The 22,880-nt window shown below is 42.0% G+C and overlaps 1 non-coding gene and 1 pseudogene across 1 annotated transcript, besides 2 other annotated features; one reads left to right on the top strand and one right to left on the bottom strand.

Annotated features, from left to right (window-relative positions):
• TSEN15P3 (tRNA splicing endonuclease subunit 15 pseudogene 3) lies at window positions 302-1,252 on the top strand (annotated as a pseudogene).
• On the bottom strand, window positions 1,710-1,936 carry LOC124901858 (small nucleolar RNA U3). The gene has a single exon (XR_007060685.1). It is a non-coding gene; the product is annotated as a small nucleolar RNA U3 (small nucleolar RNA).
• Window positions 6,588-6,882: an enhancer, noted in NCBI's record as "tiled region #9537; K562 Activating DNase unmatched - State 12:CtcfO, and HepG2 Activating non-DNase unmatched - State 12:CtcfO". NCBI's record gives its function as "activates a minimal TATA promoter and a strong SV40 promoter by Sharpr-MPRA in K562 cells, with weak activation in HepG2 cells {active_cell/tissue: HepG2 | K562}" and the evidence as "EXISTENCE:reporter gene assay evidence [ECO:0000049][PMID:27701403]".
• Window positions 21,900-22,658: an enhancer, noted in NCBI's record as "OCT4-NANOG hESC enhancer chr7:25283553-25284311 (GRCh37/hg19 assembly coordinates)". NCBI's record gives its function as "activates a minimal SCP1, AML or CMV promoter by ChIP-STARR-seq in naive H9 embryonic stem cells {active_cell/tissue: H9 hESC(naive)}" and the evidence as "EXISTENCE:reporter gene assay evidence [ECO:0000049][PMID:30033119]".

Here is a 22,880-nt window from a genome sequence, read left to right as displayed (position 1 = left end):
ACGTTTCATTTACTTTTCAGTTGTCTGCAATCAAGCTTCTGCCCCTCAGCTCTGCTATATTGTTCAGGCAAAGGTGCCAGAGAAAATTCCATTAACAAATCCAGTGGAAGATCTTCAGTTTCAGCTCACCTTTCTCCTCCATGGGGCAGTTCACCATTCCTCTCTCATTGAAACGTACCCCAGATTTCTGTGATCTCTCATACTCTTTGCCCTTGTCATCTGCCCTTGATTTCTCTGTCTACTGGCAGCTCCTCCTGCTTCTCATTAGCAGCAGGTGTTCTGGAAGCACTACACTAGCCATCATGGAGGAACATGGCGATTCTGAGCTGACCCCCGGCTGCAGCAGGCTGGGCCCTGGCAGCGTTCACAGCAGCTGTGCCCCCTCATGGGCCCTTCAAGGTTGGCTGGATGGGCACCAACCCTAAGTATTTAGAAATGATAGAATGAAGTACAGGAGATGACATCCAAGTTTATATAGCATTCTTAGTTTACCTGGACCTCATGGACAGTAAAAGTTGGCATGAAGTCAATTGTGTGTGGGAATGCTGGAACTGCAGCTCATCTGCCTTGTTCTGAGCTAGAAGGGGAGGGGCTGCAGACTGTGGTGTCTACCCCCTTCACTACTTCCCTCAGCCGTAACTGCTCAAGGGAGATCTTGAAGGCATCTTAGAACACAAAGATGTTCCCAGTGGCATTACTTTTAATAGCCCAAATTACAAACCACCTAAAAATTTAGGTCAGGAATCAGCAAACTTTTTCTATAAAAGATCAGAAAATAAATATTTTAGGATTTGCAGGCCATACTCTCTCAGTCATAAGTTGCCAACACTGCTGTATGTAACACAAAGCAGCCACAGAAAATATGTAAGCAATATGGGCATGGCTGTGTCCCAATAAAACTATCTATAAATGTGGTCCCATAGTTTGCCATCCCCTCGTCCAGGAACTAGTCAATAAAAGGATATATATGAGTGGTACATTAAGTACTCTTTGAAAATTAGTAATCAATATTATTTAAAACATGAGAAAATGTTATATTAAATAAAAATTGCAAGATACAAAAGCGTATGAATGGCTGTAATCATGATTGAAATAACACACCCATCATACGATAAAAAGATGACAAAGGAAATCAAATTACTAACTGTGGTTGCAGTAGGATGGCAGGACAGTAAATAGATAACTTTGTCTTTTCTCAATATTTGTTTTCATTTGTATTACTTTTATAATAAGAATATTTTACCTTAAAAAATTTTTTTAAGTGGGTATGCACTCAAGAGCTTCGTTCTTGGCCATTTTCTCTTTTCATTCTGTGTGTCTTCCGTAAATATCTTCCTGCACCCTTACAGGTTAGCTCTACTTTCAATGACAAACAACTGCCAAATCTATGTCTTTAGCTCAGGCTTCTCTTCTGAGCTCCAGATTCATATTTCAGCCACTTACTAGACCTCGATACCAGGGTGTCCCTCCTTCAATTCCAACTAGACAGATATAAAACTTCAAAAGTAATAATATTTGAAGTAATATCTCTGACGTAATATCTCCAAAATGATTACTAAGCCAATATCCCCTTGCCTGGTTTAGTGGCTTTTCTGTATTCTGCACCTCCCAAAACTAAAGCCAAGCATTTACTCTAAATCTTTGCCATTTTCTGATAACTTTCAACGTATTTTATTTATTTTTCCTTTTTCCTTCTTTTTTTAACTGGAACCACTCCAACTGCTTTCTCCCCCTCTTCCTCTCCCAAAGGAAGAGAAGAACGATCATCAATGGCAAGTGACAGTAGCAGCAAAGCAACTCCATGAGCCAGCTTCATGCTCAGGATCATCCTGCGCCTTCTCCTCATGGGTTCTGCTGCTCTTCTGCAGGTCTGTACGCATTCAGAGAAACTTCCCTAGTAACAAACTATAGAATTGATCCCTGAAAGTATAATCTCTCAGTGTATTTTAATTCTGCTCCCTGGCCTCCAAGCCCACCTTGACTGCCCTGGTCCAATCCCTGGTTGTCCCAGGCCCAGACGACTGCCATTGTCTCTCAGCTGGTCTTCCTGCCTCAGTCTCACTCCCTTCCAGGCAATATTTCCACCAATCTCAGGGTGATCTTCCTAAAATCCAAATTTAATCACAACAGACTCCTATTTAAACCCTTTAATTCCCCCCCCTTCTTCTGGATAAAATATAAACTCTTATCATAATTTTAAAAACCTTGCATGATCTGGCCTCTGCCTACCATCCCAGGATGATGTCCTGCTGCTCCCATTTCTCCCCTGCCCTATACCTTATGTGCTACTATGCCTCATTACTCCTTCTCAAACCCAACATGACAGTTCAGCCCTGTTCCATCCAACATGCTTTTTCCTGGGATACACTTCCTGAAATATTTCTTTTCCTGGGATACACTTCCTGAAATATTTCTTTTCCTGGAACACACTTCCTCTATGTTTCTACCTACGTGAATCATTCTACAGGATTCACCTCAGTGGCTGCCTCCCCATGGAAACCTGGCCTGCCCCACAGCCCACCCTACCACCTTGTCTCCTCTGAGCACCTGTTTGATGTCCTAGATGCATCTGCCCCATTGCATTGGAATTCAGTTTTTGTTCATCTGGCTTTGACTAGGCTGAGAGCTTCTTGAGAGCAAGGACAGGGTCTTACTCATCACTGCACACTTAGTATGTTCCAAAGAGCCTAGGGCTTAAACGCGTGTGAATGAATGAAGGAGCAAGTGACTGAATGAACTGTGGTGAGATTACGATGCGGGGAACAACCTACACTAGTCAGTGGGGAAAGGCATTTTGTAACATTGATGGTGTTGAAAGATGGGAAATACAGTCTTTCTCTCTGGCTATTTAGTATTTTACAGCAGATATTTTCTGAAGTGTTAAAAGTTAAATCAGTTTCCAGGAAAACATGACTGGTGATGTAAAATATGTCATGAGGGGAATATTTCCCCTCCTAATACTTTCCATGCACATGAAAGGGAAAAGTGCACCCACCACATATGCATGATGCTGTCATCTAGAAGTTCATGCTCTCATGTTTCTCCAGGCCCTTATGTGCAGGGTAGCAAATGAGTATGTTGGCTAGGGATCAGTCCACGCACAAAGTTGGCGTGCTCTTTGCCGTGTAATGAGTCATCTCCCTGTCGGTACCTGGTCAGCCCCAGCTCTGAGACAGAGCAGACAAGAAGGGACCCATCTGATGTCCTAGATGCATCTGTCTCATCGTGTTTGAATTATACTGGGCTGATCTGACCAGGCATGAGGAATAGTGCTCCATTTAGGCATGGAGTCACCCCTAGAGCCCGGTCTACTATAAAAGACAGCTATTGGATCCTGGGAGTGCCCATGATGAAGCCAAAACAGGTATCAGGTCACACACATAAGGAATCCATGGGTATTGAAAAATATTGATAAGATGGACATTGTGTCCTATGATGGAAGTCCCACATGAGAGCAAAGGCAGAACCTAAGGCCGTGGTCAGAAGTCAAGGTACAGGTTCAAAGTGGATCCCAGGGAGCAGGAAAGGCAACAGCAGTTTCCTTAAGAAACAAAACCTACACTACAAAACAATGGCAATATGGTATTGATCCTGGTATTTTTATATATATAGATAAGGACTGTGTACGGAACATTTTTTTGGTTTTGGGTGCCCAGAACCATTTCCTCTTATGGTAGGTAATAGAACCTATCTTTCCATCTTTCCTGTGGAAAGCGCATTCCTGTGGCTTGAGTGAAGCTAACCTCACCCTGCCTTGACCCCACGGCGGGCACATGGCCCAGACCTGACCTCACATTCCTCCCCAGGATGCTGGATCTCCAAGGTGGTTGATTGTAAGTCCCAGACTTCTGGCAGCCATGTTGCTTTCCCATCTGAAGGATGAACAGGCAGAAACAAATACAAGTGTGAGACACAGAGAGAGTCAGAGACTGGAGAAGAGCATTTGACCCCTGAAGCAAGAAGCAGCCCTGGAATTTCTTTTAAAGTCTGGATTTGGGGTCTGTGGCTTGCAGCCAAAGGAGTCCTCCCACTAGAGGCCAACGTGTGTTGCTCTTGAGAGGAGGCTGGACTTGGTCGATACTTGGGGCTGGGTTTGCAGTGTGGGCAGAGCACCAGATCTTCTGAGAAATTTTCACAATTCTCTATGTTACCACCACATTTGACGCTGAGATTTTTGTTTCCCAAAAGATAAGTCTAGATGTTTAGTCACTGCTGTTATATTCTTTCCTATGTCTTTGTGTTTCTCATCCTTTTCACACTCATGCTGAACCCTCTGAATGAGAGGAGGGGAAGGCATTGGCTGTATAGCAACTTTTAAGACCACTTGAAGCCACTTATCCAAAGGATACTAGAAGTCATCCTCTGAATATCCGGGGCCTTCTTGTTTAGTGGAGGGCAAGGGACTCCTAGACCAGAATTACTTGTGATCTGAGAAGTCAGCCTAGGCCTGATTTCCCTTAGGATTTCATTTCCCCCTGAAACTAAAGCTGGAAATAGAGCTCTCCTTAGTCCTCCTCCTGCAGAATCACATAATGGTCCTGTATAATTAGCCTGAAGACATTCCCTGCTGTTAGTTTGTCACAAAAACAAGCAGAAAGCACTAGAAAGAAGAGTAGTTATTTAGAAGTAAATAGCAAGGGAAGGTTGGAAATGTTTGATCTCATATATAGATACGGCTTTGTGTTCTCCAAGTAATTACTTTTGGTTTACTTTTTTCTTAAAGTGCATTGAGATTGGAAGGTTAGTAAGAATGAACAATAAAATTAGGTACTAAAAACAAATGAGGCTCTCAAGGGATAGAGTCAAATAAGAGAGAGAAAGTCTTGGCCCTACACTAGTTGCAAAACAGAGTTTTGTCAGCCCCTTCGGTATTTATCAGACCTTCCCTGCTAACACCAATTAAATGAGAGAGGGGATCTCAAAGTTTGGGTCAAAGCCTTTGATTTTCAGATAAGAGATCACATCAACTTTCAGAGAAAATCTCAGATGTCTCTAATATTTCTTTACTATAAAACCTCCTCCAAGGTTTCGATTCCAGAAACGTTTGAATCGCATTTCTGCAAGGTACAAATTAATAGCTCTTACAAAGACGGTCAGAGATTTCATTTTAAAACACTATTAAACCTAGAAGGTAGTAGCCAAATTGGAGAGGATGTTTGATCCTCTCCCAATTTTCCACTGCTGCAAAGCAGAGACTGATAGTAAATCATTCTTTGCAGTCACTTCTCCTGTTTTTTAAGAAGAAGAAATCATTTTAGAAGTTTTTCTCTTTTTTTCCTTGCAAGAGCTTCATAACATCGGCACACAGCTTGTGAAACAGAGGGAGAGAACAGAAACCACATCCGGAAGTAATCATCTCTGCAGCACTGTAATGGATTATATGTGTTAAAGGGGCCGTGGACTAAATTAGCGTGAAGGTATTTCATAAAAAGTTATGTAAATCTTAAGTGGAGGTAATGCTCTTCTCCTTAAACTTAGGAATGAGGAAACCGTAGGCCCCAAGACCTTGCTACAAAACAGTAGCTTTGCTACTTCTTGTGCCACCAGATTAAACAGACAATTGGAATGAAACCACTACCTCATATACTCACATAAACTAAATTTTATTGTTAACCTGGACACACTGAAAATCATGAGACTGATGGAACCAAACTTCCCACAATTGTCCAGTCAATTTGCTATCCTTCTATTTTTTAATTTTTGGGGGGGGGGAATAGGGAATAGCAAAATTGCCTTTTTCTCAGCACTTACTCAGTCTGTAGATAATAGAAAGTTCTTATTCCTTTTAAACTTGCAAATGAGATTCTTTATCTCAGAGGCCCAATCACCATTCCAAAGAGAATATTTTTATTTTCAAGAGATTCTGTTTTTAATTGGCTACTTAGAAAATCTATTTTAGAAAACATACATACTTGCTGGAGTTAACTTGTTCTATATTGTTCAAAAAAGAAAAAAATCTACCAAAAGGAAAACAAAATGGACATTGAAATGCTGTTTTCAGGGATAATAATATTTAACAACTTGGGGGTTGGAGGAAATCGGTCCCCTTTAATATCTCAGTTGGCACTTCGCCCTGTTAGCCCTATGCTAGTTGCATTGTGCTCAGAGGCAACCAGACACTTGCAACGATTGCTTCTGAAGCACCACAGAACTACCTGCAGTAATTTGGTTGTTTTCAACCATTCTCCAAATAAAAATATCCCTTTAACGCAAAGGCTCAGGGTTTATGAGTTGTTTTTTTTTTTAAGAAACTAACGTACACATTCCCATGCATTTTTATCACCTTAGGCTAAAAATATAACAAGCAAAGACTGAGAAGGAGCTGGAAGAAATTAAGAAGAATGCTTTCCAACGTTTGGAAATTCCTTGAACGATGCACATATAATGTATATGCAATAACTCTTCAGTAAAGGAAAAGACATAAAGAAATGAGAGACTGCATAAAAGCCTGGGCAATTCTATATTTTAAATAATAAGGTGAAACGGCAAAATGTTTTGTTCTACGTGGTATCTGTTCAACTGTAATTCTGTACTCCACATGATGTGAAAATCTAAGTTTGAGCAAAGTTGGCCTTCTTTTTTTCTTTAATCCACACTGACATTGTGCCCAGAGATGGGGCTCCAGCTGTTGAGGGACTAGAAGAACCTCAGGGAGTGAGTGATCAGCTCAATACCGAATCCTCCGTGTGCCAAGAGGATCCCTTTGACCCTGAAGCCATTGCAAATTGTTGCTTTTTCTTGTAAGTAGAGTCTGCCCCCACGTGGTGAAAGTGAGAGGCTGCTTTTACACACCAGGACGCCTTCCTCTCGCTTCTAGGGCAGCAATTTTTGTAGCGACTGGCGCCCTTTTACCACCATTCTATCTTTGAACTGCTCTTCCTTCTTCCCTTCCCTCTGTCCTACTTCCCCCTTTTCCTCTTCTCCTTCCTTTCGTCTTCTTTCTGTTTCATCCCCTCTACTTCTTCCTTCCCCTTTGCTTTCCTGAGCCCTCCACTGTATTATTCAGTGGCCCAGACCCCGTGTCTGGGGGAGGATCTGGACTCTGATTTGAGGAATTCAGGAAAGACAATTTCAATAAATAATTAGAGAATAATCACTTTAAGGGATAACAACATGACATCGTAGATCCTGAACCAGAGATTGAGATACCTGGCTTTCACACGCCGTGGCTCTGTCCCAGAAATAGGATACAGATATGACATGTTTATATGCAAAGTAAGAAATCTAGGCGTAAGCATAGCTTCATAGAGAACCAGGAGGCAGAAAGACAAAATGGGTTCATCTGCCCTCTTTTTAAAAAAAGCAGTAAAGACACCTAATGCTGATCCCACCAGCTCCCGCTGAGCCACTCCAAATACATGCAATCTAAGCAATCGAAAACCAATGCTCATGTGGCAATACAGCCTCAAGATAAAGCTCCTTGCTTCCCTCGTGGTCCTATTACAGGCAGCCCGTCATCCCTAGGGCCATCCTGAGCAACCAGTCCACCCTGGACATCATTTTCATCATGTCACATCCCTACCCAGAAATCTTCAAAGGTATGTTGCCTTCAAAGTCCAAATACCTCGTGCATTATTCAGGATCTCTCTCTCTCTCTCTCTCTCTCTCTCTCTCTCTCTCTCTCTCTCTCTCTCGCAAACACACACACACACAAACACACACACACACACACACACACACACACACACACACACACACACACACACCATAGTCTCAACCTACTCAAGTTCTCTACTTCAGCCACATTTCTCTCCTGGGCATCCCCTAATGTCCATCTTTTTCTTGCCTCTGTACTTTTACATTTGCTGATTCCCAGCACAGCCTTTTGTGGTGCTTCTGTCAGTCTGGAAGTCCTTTTTTTTTCAACACTGAAACTGCATTAGTACACAAAGCAAGACATGTCACCTAGGGAGATGGAAGTTGAGGGTGCTTTCATACCCATATGAAAGCCTCATATCAAGATACAATACATATATTTTAATACAACTGTAATTTACAGAGCTATTAATCTTCCAAGGCAGGAGGTGGGGTGAGGGTAGGGAGGGCAAAGTGTTCATAAACTACCAAGGAAGAGTTCTAGTGGTTTATGCTATTGCCAGAATCCTGAGATGGAATTATGACCCTATAACTCAGTTAGCCAGCTCTTTCCATTCTCTAATGGATGCCTTGGAGACGTGGCTTCCTGCTCAATTTCCCTGTATACTCTGTAGCTTTCACTCCCTTCCAAATGCACCGGGGAGCCTCCTAACCACCTCATGTGACAAGCTGTTTGAGCTATGTCTTTGTTTGGGAAATGTAGAAGGAAGACTCCCATACCCCTCTCAATCTAAAGATTCTGCATAGGATGGGGGCGGGAAGAGCTCTCTTCCATAGCAGCAGATAGAAATGCCATGAAGTGCCCACCCATGGCCTCCAAATCGGCACAAAATATCCGCAGGTAAGGGAAGAACTAAACACCACTCAAGTATTGCCCATCGTTTACCTTCTGGATGCACAACTAGTATAGTATTACTCGTTGTAATCCATGAACCCTCTGCATTGTAATCACCTGGCATGGTCCTTGGAAATGCTGGTTCCTAGGCTGCACCTCAGACCTATACAATCAGAATCCAGGGGGTAGAGCCTTGAAATATGGAGGTGTTATAAATAATTGAAGTCATTCGTATCCATTTGAGCATTTGAGCATCTCTTTTTCAGGTATTCACTGTGTTTTTCTTCATTGTGCTGAATGCAGTACTCCAGACAGGGCCTGCCTCAAACAAAATCACAAAGGGCTAAATGTGTCAAAACTCCTGCTTCATGAACCCACATCTGCCCTTGGACCTGCTGCTCCTGATCTCTGGCCCTGTGGCTATGTCAGTGCACTCATCCTGACCCTGGGCCCCCTGAATGCCAGCCTGGACTTATCTTGCCCATGCGAACATGTGTGAGCACCTAGGCCATTCCTTTCACCTTCCTGTCTAACAAATTGATTTGATTTGTGCCTGGTTTCCTCAAGATTTTGCTATTCATTAGATGACAGTTAACCAATATAATTTAACGACTAATCCATATTAAAGGGTTAATGTAGGTATTTGTTACTCTTTGGCTGAGTCGAGGGACATATTCTGAGGCAGATGAAGAGGGGCTTGGCCTTCTCAATCACACCAGTTAGGTTTATCCTGTCTCTACCATTTGCTAGGAGGTCTCAAATTCTATGCAATTTTATTTCTAAAGTGGATAAATAATCCCCCCACTTATCCCCAAAGAGTGGAGCTTAAAAGCACTTTAGGAACTGAAAAGTAGTACATAAGCAAAAGAATTTGTTATAATTCATCTCAAGATCAGCCCCAATTTATGGATACCATGGAAATTGTTTTCCTGATTTTCACTCTCCTGGTAGTAATAAAAAAAATTCTGATGAAGGTCCTTCCAGCCAAGTCTATGTGGAATATGTCCTTTGATAAGGTGGCCAGCGTTCCCAGAGCTGGCCCTGCCTGGGCTCATCCTCTGTGTCCTCTCCATCCTCATGACACTTGGGCTTAGACCAGCCGCACCATGTGAATATGGCCTATTGAGAATCACCTAGGGAGTCTTACCCACCACACTGCACAGAAAGGAAACAGCTCCAGAGAGGTGATTGGAGGTACTGGCAGGGAAGGAACCAGAACCTGGACCACACTGCCTTGAGGTACGGTTTCCAAATGTATTTTCAGATGTCTTTGGGACATTTTTATGGTTCTTGGGGATGTGCCCACCTCATCCGTTTCCATCCCTTGATGTCTCCCATTCTCCTCATCTCCATGCTATGACCAAATTGCCCTCTAGATAGTTCTTCTCCTCAGCTGTCGCTTTCGATGTTAAGAACATCCTCTAGGAGTAGCACAACACATCTAGATGCTCTGTGAGCAAAACCCATACCCTGTGCTTTGCTGGCCCTTATCTGTGTAGACTGTGCTTTCTCTGGAGTTTCATGCCACGCTGACATTTGGCTGCCTACTCGCTGCTGAAAGGCTTATGTGATGGATGAGTGGTTAGACTGCACTAATCTGCTCTGTACACAGCTACGGCCTCACATGGATGATGGGAAGAGCTGGAAGGATGAGAAAAGATCTTAAAAGTCATGACCAACTCCTCCAAAGAGACGGACAAGAATCCCACATGGAGTGTGTTGCAGTATGTTCAAGGAGCTTTTCTAAAACCTATATTTCAAAAAGACTAAGCTCAAGCCTCTGCCTTTTAGGCTACATCAGCACACTGAAATGAGCCCCACAGATGGCCTTTGTACATGAACTCCTGGCATACTGGTTTTTTTTCAGCCCCAGAATTCCCTTGAACTTTGGAAAATGCTAATTGAAATACAAGGCATATGTTCTTTAGCGTGAGCCAGTGAGAGAAATCTAAGGACTGGACAATGCTGTCAAGTAAATATGATGCACAGTAACAGTGGCGGTGTGTAACTAGTAGCGAATTTGAAAACCAAATCTGAGAACATTTGGTGGCTTGATTAATTTGCTTTGCCCATCCGCCATCTGTTGTTGTCTCCAGGAGCCCAGGATGGGGCACCCTGCTTGATTCTGCTGACTTAGGCCACCTGGAAGCTCTCCTTCTATAGGGAGTGGGGGTGGACTCTGCGGAACAAAAGTCCCCGGCCCTGCTCCTCTGATCCCACTGTGCAGCTGGGAAATCAGGTTTGTAGAAGCAGCTCCTCCCATATGCTTCAGAATGACTTTTACATCCTCTATCTCTGTTTAAAACCAGTGTACATTCACAGGTTCACCTGTTTTATATCTTCCCATGCTGATAACTGCAGAGCAAAGTGAGGTCACTTGGTGACAATCAGCCAATTGCTTCTTTTGAGCTGAACTGTAGAATGTCACATTTGAATTGTGCTACCCGCCCCACCCTTTTTGGCTGAGTTAACTCATTCTTTTCAGAGCAAAGCTTTTCACCAAATGCCTTATACAAACTTGGTGTGTAGTGCCATTGATAAGTAAGCTCAGCTTTGCTTTCTGAACTAGGTCATGAAAATGATGCTCATCTTTGCCCTTGTCCTGCTCCCCCAACCCAGACACTTAAGTGCCCCATTCATTTTTCAATAGAAACATAGTGAGTGTTCACATGTGAGCTAGATACTGGGAAGTCAGAAGTGAGAGCTTAGTCCTTGGTCCTCATGGGGCTCACAGGCTAGTGGGGAAACTTAAATAAATAAAACTACGCTGCAGATATTTTGACAGAGATTTACACAGGCTACTTGTAGCAAAGGTTTATTGTAGCCCACCAAACGGATTCCACTCCTCTTCCATATTAATTGAGTTGCCCAGCTCCACATCACACCTCCTTCCCTTCCCACAAATTCCCTCCCTGCAACTTGGTGTGGTCATATGACCAAGACCTCCCCATCAGGAATATGAGTTAGAAGTGACGTGTGCCACTTCCAGGCCTGGGCCTTCAACCGTGGCACACGTGCTCTACCACTTTCTTACCCTTTCTGGTGAGCTGGAACATGATAAGGCCTGTAAGCTAGCATCAACCATGTGAAAGAGGATGGTGCTCCAGGTGATGGGGAGAAATGAGATGGAAGGAGCCCTCGTGACTGCACGGAGCAAATGGGCCCCTCTGCCGGTTCTGGATTGCTTCGAGAATGAGAATAAAGGGCCTTGTTTCTTAAGCCACTGTGTTGTTGGGCCTCTTTGTTACTGCAGCTTAGCTTTCACTCTAATCAGTACAACTCTGTGTTCCACACTGAAGCACTGTCTGAAATGGGAGTAAACGATCTTCATCTGAGATTACACACAAAGAATCTCCATATTTCCTTGATTCAGATTCACCAGATGTTAATGCTTTCCCATATTTGTCTATCTCTGTTTGCATATGTAAATATATATACATTTGTGTGTGTATTTCCCCTGAACTGTTCATGAGAAAGTTACAGACATAAATAGTTAAGTGTGTATTTCTATCAAAAACAAGGACATGCTCTTACATACAATAGTACAGTTGTTAAAATCTGAAAAAGTAACATTGATACCCACCTTATTATGTTACCTAAGGACCTTATTTCATTATTAGACTAATTGTCCTAATAATATCTTTTATAGTAAAAGAGAGAAAAAATGTATTACTCAAGGATCCAATCCAAGATCATGTCTTGAGTGATCGTTGTCTCCTTTTCTTCTTTAATCTGTAATAATTTCTCAGTTTGTCTTTGTCTTTTATGACTTTGACATCTGAAAGAATACAGACCAGTTATTTTAGAGTTTGTCTCTCTCAATTTGAGTTTGTCCTCAAGGTTAGATTCAGATTATATTTTTGACAGGAATCTCACAGAAGTGATACTGTGTTCTCATTGCCTCCTATCAGGTGGCACAAAATTTCCATCTGTCCCATTACTGATAATGTTAACTTTGATTACTTGGTTAAGGTGCCAGATTTATCCATTGTAGTTACTATTTTTTTCCTTCATAATAAAGATGAAAAAGGGAGAGAAAATAAAAGGAAAGGATTCCTTTTATTTATAGGGATTCATACCATTAGACAAGAAGGTGCTTTTCCTTTACAGATCTTTCTTTGATAACCCCATCTCTATTCCTGGTTTCTTCTTAGATGGCTTATGGGACCCATGAATCACATCTAATCTCCTCACAGAGCCCTCTGTATGACTGAATACTCTGGCCTTTTGGCCCCTCTGATGCACTGGCAAGAGGTTGTCCAGCCACACCCTTGGCTTTCCCTTCAAGACGTACTTTCTTGACAGTAAATCTCCTCATTTTAGTGTCTTTTGCAATATGGATTGGCTGAGAATTTCCCAAACTATCAAGTCCTGGTTCCTTTTTGCTTAACAGTTCTTTCTTCAATCCCTCTGTTTCCTTTTACATCTTATTGTAAGCAGCAGGAAGAAACAAGGCTGCATCTTCAACTATTTGCTTTCAACACTAAGCTTTCTGCTACTATATAGCAAGGGTCACCTTTCTTGCAGTTTTCAATAAGGTGTTCCTCATTTCCTTTGTGCCTCCATCAGCAGTGATGCTAGCATCCATATTTCTATCAATGGCCTATTTATGGTAATTGACGTATTCCCTTAGAAAACATAGGTTTTCTCTACCGTGCTCCCCAATTCCTTCTGAACCCTCACAAGCAAATTCTTTAATATCAATGTTTTACTTGCAATCTATTCAAGACAATCTAGGCTTCTTCTATTATATTCCTCAAAATTCTTCTAGCATCCACTTATTACCTATTCCAAAGCAACTTTCACATTTTTAGGTATTTGTTACGGCGGCACCCCACCCTTGGTACCAAAATCTGTATTCATTTCTTAGTACTGCTGTAACAAATTGCCACAAACTTTGTGACTGAAAGCAACACAAATTTATTATCTTATGGTTCTAGTGGTCAGAAGTGTAAAATGGATCCATAGGACTGCATTCGTTTTGGGGACTTTAGGGGAGAATTTGTTTCCTTACCTTTTCCAGCTTCTAGAGGCCTCCTATATTCTTTGGCTCATGACGTCTTCCTCCATCTTTAAATCATCTTCCTCCTCCCTGACCTCTGCTTCCATTCTTAAATATTCACTCACATTTCTGTCCCTTCTGCCTTCCTCTTATAAGACCACTGTGGTTACCTTGGGCCCACCCAGATAATCCAGGATAATCTCCCCATATCAATATCCTTAACTCAATCACATCTGCAAAGTCCCTTTTCCCTATCATGTCTCATATTCACAGGTTCTGGGGATTAGGATGTGGACATTTTTGGGTGGCCAGCTAGAATGGTCTTGAAGGTCTGTCTATTGTCCATAATGACCCACACAAAAGAAGGTAGTTAATTCATCAACTTAAAGGTGAATTCATTGAATTAGAGGTTAATTCATCAGTCCTTGGTATAATCGCCAATAATTACAGGGAGAATAGTTGGGTCAAAAAGGAGCCCCCAACACAAATGGTGAGACAATTCATGGTCCATTCTCTTCCACATACAAACATAGAACCTGAAAGTCTCCCAGTTACTCCAATTTGATATTTGTTGTTAAACTTGATCTCAATCACAAGTATGTTGAGTTAAAAAACATGGGCAGTGCCACTGAGTAGTTACAGTCATACATTATTTAACCTAACACTGCTCAGGCAGCGGGAGAAGCATATGAATTTATAATCAGTCAGATTGAAACAATGTTGTGCCAGACTGTGTGTTTGTAACCATTCATAACATCAGACATAGCAGAATAATCCAGGACCAGTCATGTCCCAGGTTTCTTTTGCCCAGGCTGCCACCTGGAAAATGTACCAATCAGGCTGACCCGGATTTGCTATTAGGGGAAGGAAAGACATACCATGTCCATGATTAGTCAGAATGGAGTCCCAAGCTTTCATAACGGATCTATATAACTCTGTACTCCTTTTGTACTAATTATTACTCAGAAGTAACCAAAAAGGATGACCTTTTCTTGAGACAGCCAAATCAAGTGACCAAATTGCCTTACTAAAATATGTAGACCAGGAAAATGTACTGGACAAAGAGTCAGAAACACTTTTGAGTTAGTTTTTGAGAATGCCATTCTAGCACTCAGCAATACTGGATATAGTAAGGAATATGGAATGTCCATTTAAGTATTTGACTATTATCTCATTGTTAGATGTTCTTTGCAAATGATTCAGAAAGCCTAATGCATGACACAATTTCACTTTAAAGCACAATGGTGTGGCTAGAGTCAGCTGATTGGACTGAAACAGCAATAGCATAACCTTAAAAAGAAAAATGTCAAAGCATTGAGACAACAATGGTAGTCTCAAAAGGGGGTCAAAGATTTGATATAGTCAATTTGCCAGGAATAGACAGAGGTAATGTCCTGTGCAATGTGGCCTACTTTACCACAGAACAAACAGGCCAAAATTCGGCAGGAGTCACAAGTCTGGTATACAGTGGAAGCTTCTGCATCAGAAACACATGGTCCTTTACAGTGTCTAGTCTGCAATGGTGGATCTGTTGCCATTTCTGATGAGGTGAGGACACCAGGCAGCAATAGGAGCAATCTGGGCATTGCACACTCAATCAACAGCTCAATTCTCATTGTTCCCATCAGACAACAGGCCCTTACAATGCCATCAACACAAGGGACCCAGACTATCTACTTGGGAGACACAATTTGTTTATACAGTTCATGGCCGCAGAGAGGAATATCTTTATCTGCCCGTGTTAGTCTTCCAAGTGGCAGACCACATGGCTAGGCCATTGGTAACAGCCTAAGAGTCAGAAATAGTCCTTAGGAGTACTGTCTAAGGCGAGGGTGTGGCTTTCAATTCAGCCCATTGTGCTGCAGTTGGTCTTACAGAATTGTCACTGAGGCTGGATGGTTGCTTCCACCCAGTGGACATCATCAGATGTCATCTTAGCTAAACCATCATCAGTGAAAGAGCTCAGGGTTACAGACCAACCTTGATGAATCAAGGGCCCTATTGAGCCAGCAGCTTTCCTTCAGGCAGTGGAGGGGGAGATAAAAGTTTCTTCCAAAGAGATGACTGCTACTGTTTCACGTAAAACTCAGTGGCCTCTCAGATGCCACTAGAGCAGCACTCTTAAATATACTATTTCTATTTGACAAGACAGGCTCACTGGGCGCTTCCCACCTTGTTTTGTTGAGTTCTGTTTGACCCATCCCAAATGGGAATATCCAGCCTGAGAGTCACAGGCTTCTGTTGGAAAGATTTTCAGTTTAAACAAGAGCTTAGTAGCAGGTTAATAGCTGCCAATAGGGAAGAGTGTGGTGGGAGGAGTACTTGGTGGCTGTGTGAGAGAAGTGGAGCTAATGTACTGAAGAATGGCCTCTCTTAGTATTCCAGCAGTCATTATCCCTCACTAAAGCTGACATTTCCCTTTCTCCCTCAGGTTTATATATTGTTTCTGTTGGACTTGCTGGACAGTACATGTGGTCATCCCCGAACAGGAAAATTCCCTCTGATATTTGTGGACATTCACAGTACAAGCATATAAAATATCATTACCAATCATGCATTCAGCCGTGCAAACCACAACAGGATATTGAATTAGCCCAGAATTTCCACCCAGTAGGCCACATTAGCTCCCCCTCCCTACTTCCAACTTTGTCCAAATCCCACAGGCTGCAAGGAGCTGACCTGAGTACATGTCAGGATCTACAGCAACAGCCTCTAGACCACGCTATTTCCCAGCTGAGAGGGCAGGGTTGAATGCCAGCAGGGAGGATAAGGCTATGGTGTTAGCCTTTTCATTTTACCTCTTTTGACCCTTCACCCCCAGGTTGGTGCCCAAGCACTGGCACTACTTCCTCCTCATATACCCCTGGCATCCAGCGAGCACCAGGGCTCAGGGTCCCCTTTCATTCTACCCTGTAAACACCCTGGCTACAGCTCCACCATGCTGTTCTGAAGGCTTTGGAGACCCCTGTGCCTAGTGCCCATCTCTCACTGGTGAAGTTGAACTGTGGCAAGGACCAGGGACATGACTGCAGCACCTCAGTGCTACTAAGCAAGGTTCTGTGTTCACTTTTCCTTCTGAGCACTCTCCCGCTCATGGCTTAACCAATGTTTTCAGCTCATATAAACCAATGGTTTTGGTTCATGGAAAGCTCTATGTAAATAGCAAAGTCCTCATTGCTAACATCAGTTGTTTGGCTTTGAGGACTCCTGGCTCAATGTCCATAGAGACATTGTGTTTCAGCCGGGGCCAAGGAGCTTGCTCGCCCATTGTCCTGATAACATTTCTGACTCTGCCCACCAAGAGGAGAGAATGAGCAACAATCAAGCACCATTCAGGTGGCTTGTTTAGTCCTGGTTTTTGCTGCTTAGCCTCTAAGCATTAATTCAACTCATGTTTATTAAGAGATAGGACAGTGGGAAACCCCTCCTCCACCGCCACCTTCCACACGCACAATCCTCCCCCTCCCAACTACTTGGGGCAGGAACATTTGCTACCAGATCCCAGGGAGTTTTCTCATCTATCTGATCCTGGTTTATGGAATCCTTGTTCTTCCTTTTCAAGAAAGCCAAGTCCCTTGGGCTGGGCGTGGTGGCTCATGCCTGTAATCCCAGCACCTTGGGAGGCTGAGGCAGGAGGATCACGAGGTCAGAAGTTCAAGACCAGCCTGGCCAGCATGGTGAAACCCTGTCTCTACTAAAAATGCATGGTGGTGTGTGCCTGTAGTCCCAGCTACTCAGAAGGCTGAGGCAGGAGGATCGCTTAAACCTGGCAGGCACAGGTTGCAGTGAGCAGAGAGCACGCCACTGAACTTCAGCCTGGGCGACAGAGCGAGACTCTGTCTCAAAAGTAAATAAATAAATAAATTTTAATTAAAACAAAAAAAGAAAGCCAAGTTCCCATCTGCATTCCTTCCTTATCACCAAAACTGTCAAGGCTGCAATTTTATTTTACCCTACTTTTTTAAGCTACTAAGTTAACCTGTTACAGTGTCATGGATACTGGCAGAAAACACAAGACTCTGGGGTCAGAGACAACAGACTTTATTACTCACAGCATAGCAAGCATCATAAGCATCAGCATGTTTACACTGGCTCCCTTTGCTTTTATGTCCCATGACGGCTACATGGCAGGCCTGCATATGCAGCATGCTGTGTTATGGGAGAAAAACACTGAACTTCAAAAATCTGCCACTTTTATAGCAAACAGTAAGCAAGCCTGTTCTTTGTCTCAGAGGGAGATATCACCTCATCTTTCAAAGTTGTTCACTACAGATGAAACCCTGAGAAATTACCTAGGTAAAGAGAAGCCAAGGCACATTTTTGGCATACCCAGCAAGACGTGTAAAAGCACAAGAGACCTATGGAGGGGTTTCTCAACAACAACCAGCACTCTTGTAACCTCCCGATGGGTTCGCCTTGCTTGTTCCCTAGACAAAGCCCATTTATCAAGACGGGGGAATTGCAATGGGGAAAGAGTAATTCATGCAGAGCCAGCTGTGTGGGAGATGGGAGTTTTATTAGTACTCAAATCACGGTAGGGGCTTGGAAGTGGGGCGTGCTGATTTGTCAGGGTGGAGATGGAATCATAGGGGGTCGAAGTGAGGTTTGCTGCTGTCTTCTATTCCAGGGTGGGATGGCAGAACTGGTTGAGCCAGATTACCACGGTCTGGGTGTTCCCAGTGTCAGGTGATCCGTCCAGTGCAGGGTCTGCAAAATATCTCAAGAACTGATCTTAGGTTTTACAATAATGATGTTACCCCCAGAAGTAATTTGGGGAGGTTCAGACTCTTGCAGTCAGAGGTTGCATACCCCCTAAACCATAATTTCTATTCTTATAGCTAATTTGGTAGTCCTGCAAAGGCAGACTGGTGCCCAGGCAAGAAGTGGGTCTTTTCAGGAAAGGGCTATTATCAATTTTGTTTTAAAGTCAAACCATAAACTGAATTCCTTCCCAAAGTTAGTTCAGCCTATGTCCAGGAATGAGCAAGGATAGCTTAAATGTCAGAAGCAAGATGGAGTCGATTAGCTCTGATCTCTTTCACTGCCATAATTTCCTCAGTTATAATCTTTGCAATGGCAGTTTCAATCTGGGAAAAAAGAATAGTAATTTGTAAAGGCCTGCATTGTCATCTTTGCCAACTTCCTGGTTTAAATACTCCCACCGTGGCTGACTTCACTATGTTATCACTCAACTCAGAGTCGGGAAGAGATGTGCACATGTGCTGGCTTGACCAACCTTTGGTAATTCTTGCTTAAATCAATTATTACTATGATTGTTGTCCTTGACTTTAAAATCCATATCTGAATCTTTCATCAAACATATACATGCATCATGTGACATACAATCATCTCACCTGTTTTCAAAATGTATCCCTGCATAACTTTCCAACTGTATATTATCATCTCTTTGTAGTTTGCTTACAAGACTGAATACAAGAGCATTTCTCCCCTGAGGATCTCAAAACAATTTCTGGAGAGGTTTGGAGGGGAAATCTTGGGTTATAGTCATGGCTAAAATAGAACCCAGAAAATCAAAATGCTAAGAACTGGGATGTGACAGATCCAGCCTCTGGCTAGTGGTGAATCTCCCTCAGTTCTTCTTTGCATCTTTAGTAAACCATTATACCTGTGTTTTTAAGTTTCTGAATCTGTGATCATCTTCTATAACATTATCTGATGTTAATTTTCTTCATAGTATTTATCATTCTCTTACATTTACTGGGTTTTGTTTTTGTTTGTTTGTTTGTCTAACATATTCATTGATTGTCTCACTGCCTTTAGGGTACAAAAACAAGAATTTTGTCTATCTTGTTTACCACTTTTTCCCCAGCACCAAGAACAGTGCCTAGCATGTGGAAGATACTCGATAAATATAGGATAAATAAATAAATTCTGATTCCTGATTTGGTATCTATTCCACTTCATTATCTGGCTTTTTTGATAGCAGGCATGGCAGATGGCAATCAAGATGGCAAACAGAAGCTCTAAATTTTTCCTCCTGTAATTAAAATTTCATTGAATTTCAGGACATCTGATATCCTAATGCTGCCTCTCATACACTATATAAAATCAAAGAAGTCATTTAACCATTCCATGCCTCAGCTTCTCCCATCTAAAGTGCTCAAGGATCTCTGAAAGAATTGTTTCCATTTTCATTGTTTCTGGAACCGTGCCATGCTGGGTACATACCAACAAGTTTTTGTCTCATTCTGACAACATTCATCTTTCTGGAGGGTAGTGGGAAGTAGAGATGAACAGCTGTAGTCTTACATTTCTGTCACCCATTGGAGAAATTCAGAAATTCTTTGAAGGCAATTTCTCAGCTTCTCTGTAACCAGGGTCTAAACCATCACTCTGAAAAATTTCCCAAGCTTACCACTCATCCATTTTCTCATCTATAAAATGGGGCTAATAACACCTACATCACAGGGTTGTGGCATTAATTAGATAACCTAAATCAATGGTTCTCAAAGTGGGGTCCCTGGACCAGCAACACTGGCCTCACCCGTCAGCTAGTTAGCAGTGCAAATTTTTGAATCCCACTCCAGACCTACTGAAGCAGAAATGCTAGGGTCACCACCTGCAGCTGTGTTTTAATAGGTATTCCAGGTAATTCTGATACATACTAAAGTCTGAGAATTGCTGACAGATGAAGTCATCTGACACTTAACCCACAAATGTTTGCTTTTCATTTATTCATTCAGGTTCATTAGCCACCCAAACCAATCCCAGATATACTACAGAATTATTCATCCTCACCCCACTTGGTAGATGTAAACAATGGGTGGGAGACTTGGGAGCAGACCCTGCTCTAGAACCCAACTGTAAATGTTTGCTTCAATTGCTGTTCCTCTTCTCCACAATTTTTGCAACTTGACTAAATGTTACCTCCATGATTATACTTTTCTTTCTCCTATATCTTGTTTCAATAGGCCATTTTACACATACATGAGTAGCTAATAGGTCAACTGCACAGTCATATTCTAAGAAGGCCAGTAATGCTTAGGGCTGCTGGCTTCAGAATCAACCACCCTGGGGCTCACACCATCCAGGTAGCACTAGACAAGTTAGTCTTGGTGGAACCTGAGTTTTTCAAATGAAAAATTGAGTTAACAACAATAAAAGTCTCCATTTATTGAGTGACTACTATGGGCCAGGCACTATGCTAGGTATTTTACATTTGGTGTACATTGTCTCTTTGAAGCAAAACAATGAATTATCTTTTCTTTTCTTCAAACATCTCTTAGTTAAATACTTCTAACATTTTCATAATGGTGTTGCAATATTCAGGACCCATCATATCTTTGTTTTCATAACCAAATGATAGTAAAGATATTTTGCAGGAAAACAAGAACTTCATTAATTACTAGCTTTTCAGCAAACCTGTTAGAGTGCCCCAGTTCCATTAAGCGAGCTATATTAGTTGGAAAAATGGGTTTAATTTTGCTGCAGGTTTAGAGAAAGTGGAAATAACTTCTAAATAGTGGTGTGTCTGTGCTTTGTGGTAGAAGGTTCCTAGTTCATACTTAATTGAAAAGGCAAGTCACTGTTGAATTGTGAAAATCCTGGAAGAGTTTTTAAAGTAATTTAATGTAGCATTTTATGGTAGCTTTTGTAAGTTTCAAATTTGCGATGGATATCAAGGGATGTATATGCCTTCTGATCCCTTAGATTTAATCAGACTTCTCGCTTGCTTGCATAATGGTTTATGGTACCTTTGATGATTTGCAGCCAACCTAGCACTTTTAATAATTTACTGTAAAAGCATTTAATTTTTAATGGACAAGAATGGGCTAGAGGTAACTTTTGCATTGGTAAGTGCTCTCATGAAGAGTGGGAAAAAGAAACAGTATATTTAAATTCCAAACGTTATTGAAAAGCATTCGTCTTTTATTACCAAAATCAAATGCATAATTGAAGAACATACCTAACCCAAAATTATTGTTCATGCTTTATTTAACTATAAGATAACATTGCTTTCATGATGCTATCATGAGAACATTTTTTCAAATTCTCATGTTTTTCTTATCTTCCATAGTTTTCAATATGCTGTCCCCCTAGAAAAAGCATAATTGCCACACTTTGTTACAGCTTGCTAATCGAGAAGAGCCCAACAAAAGAATGGCTTGTAATGTCTGGTACATATTAATAAAAAAAACTATCGTTTTATATTCATTGTCCTTCAAAGTTTTTCTAAGAGCTCCATATAATGTGCATACCCAGGAATGACTTCACAACTAGTCTTAAAAATATGAGAGTTTCCATGTGGAAAGAAAAATGGGAAGATGCCAGGATAAATATTTTTTAAAGACTTGATGGAAGACAAAACATATCTTGCCTGCAGAGGCACATAAAACAAAAAATGTTGCAATCACCAAATAATCCCTTTTTCAGATATGCCATATGTAAAAATAAGAATAGCTTCACAGAACTGCTTTCTGGGGAATCAACTAACAACCTACAGCCCTGGAAAGTTTTCTGCTCATCTAACATTCCACAACTGACTGTCCCCACACTTACCCTGAAAGGGGCTACAGGGAGAACTCTGATGGTCAAGGGTTAGAGTCTGTGAGCTCTGTTTCTGGAACACCTTTTAGAATTCAGGCATCAGAGCAGTTGCTTGAGAATGTGAAACTCATTCTCTTTGTTTTGGCTTTCAAATAGCCTTAAAGCTAAACCCTGCTACAGAGGATTGGCTCCCAGGAACACTTGGTCCTTAGCCAAGGAATTTGTGCTCAGTCAAAATTAGCCCATCTAAAGATAAAAGTTCCAGGATACAATCCCCATTTCCATGCATGGTTTCCCGGGGTGAACCTGCAGGTGCGAGACTTAACTGGTTAAGAAGGACTCTATCTACTGCCTGTGATCTATTGGCTTCCTGGCAGGGGTTATATATAACAATTCCTTTCTCTATTAGCCAGATTCTCAGCTCCACCCCAGCTAATGAACAGAAACTTCTAGAGCTAGTCAATTGTCTCCTGGATTTGAGGAAGCAGGAATTGCCCCTGAGCAATTCAGGGGCAATTGCCTGTCAATTTAGCCATTTTGAACTGACAAGTTCAGGGGCACCTGAGTTGGATGATCTTTACCAATCCTATCCACACATCTCTTTTCTCCAGCTCTCTCAAACTCTTTATCTCACATCACCAACACACAGACTTTTGGAGGTAGAGAGCCCTTAAAGATTATCCCACAATCCACAGATTTTTTGCAGGAAGAAACTACAAGCTAAATAACTTGCTCAAGGTTACCCAGAAGCTAGAAACTAGAAGGCAGACTCCCTAACTTCCAAATCAAGTGCTTGTCCCATTACTTCATATGGTCTCTTTCTCTCCTCCCTCGCCTCCCCAACTACTATCATCCATTTTGCTTTGGTTTTAGGCCTTGCCATGGTGCCAGGGGTACTCAGGAGTGTCACTTCCCTGCAGTGGTAGACTTCATTGCTGT

Source organism: Homo sapiens, chromosome 7 (assembly GCF_000001405.40).
Source record: "Homo sapiens chromosome 7, GRCh38.p14 Primary Assembly".
NCBI lineage: Eukaryota > Metazoa > Chordata > Mammalia > Primates > Hominidae > Homo > Homo sapiens.
This window is presented reverse-complemented; position numbering and strand designations above follow the sequence as displayed.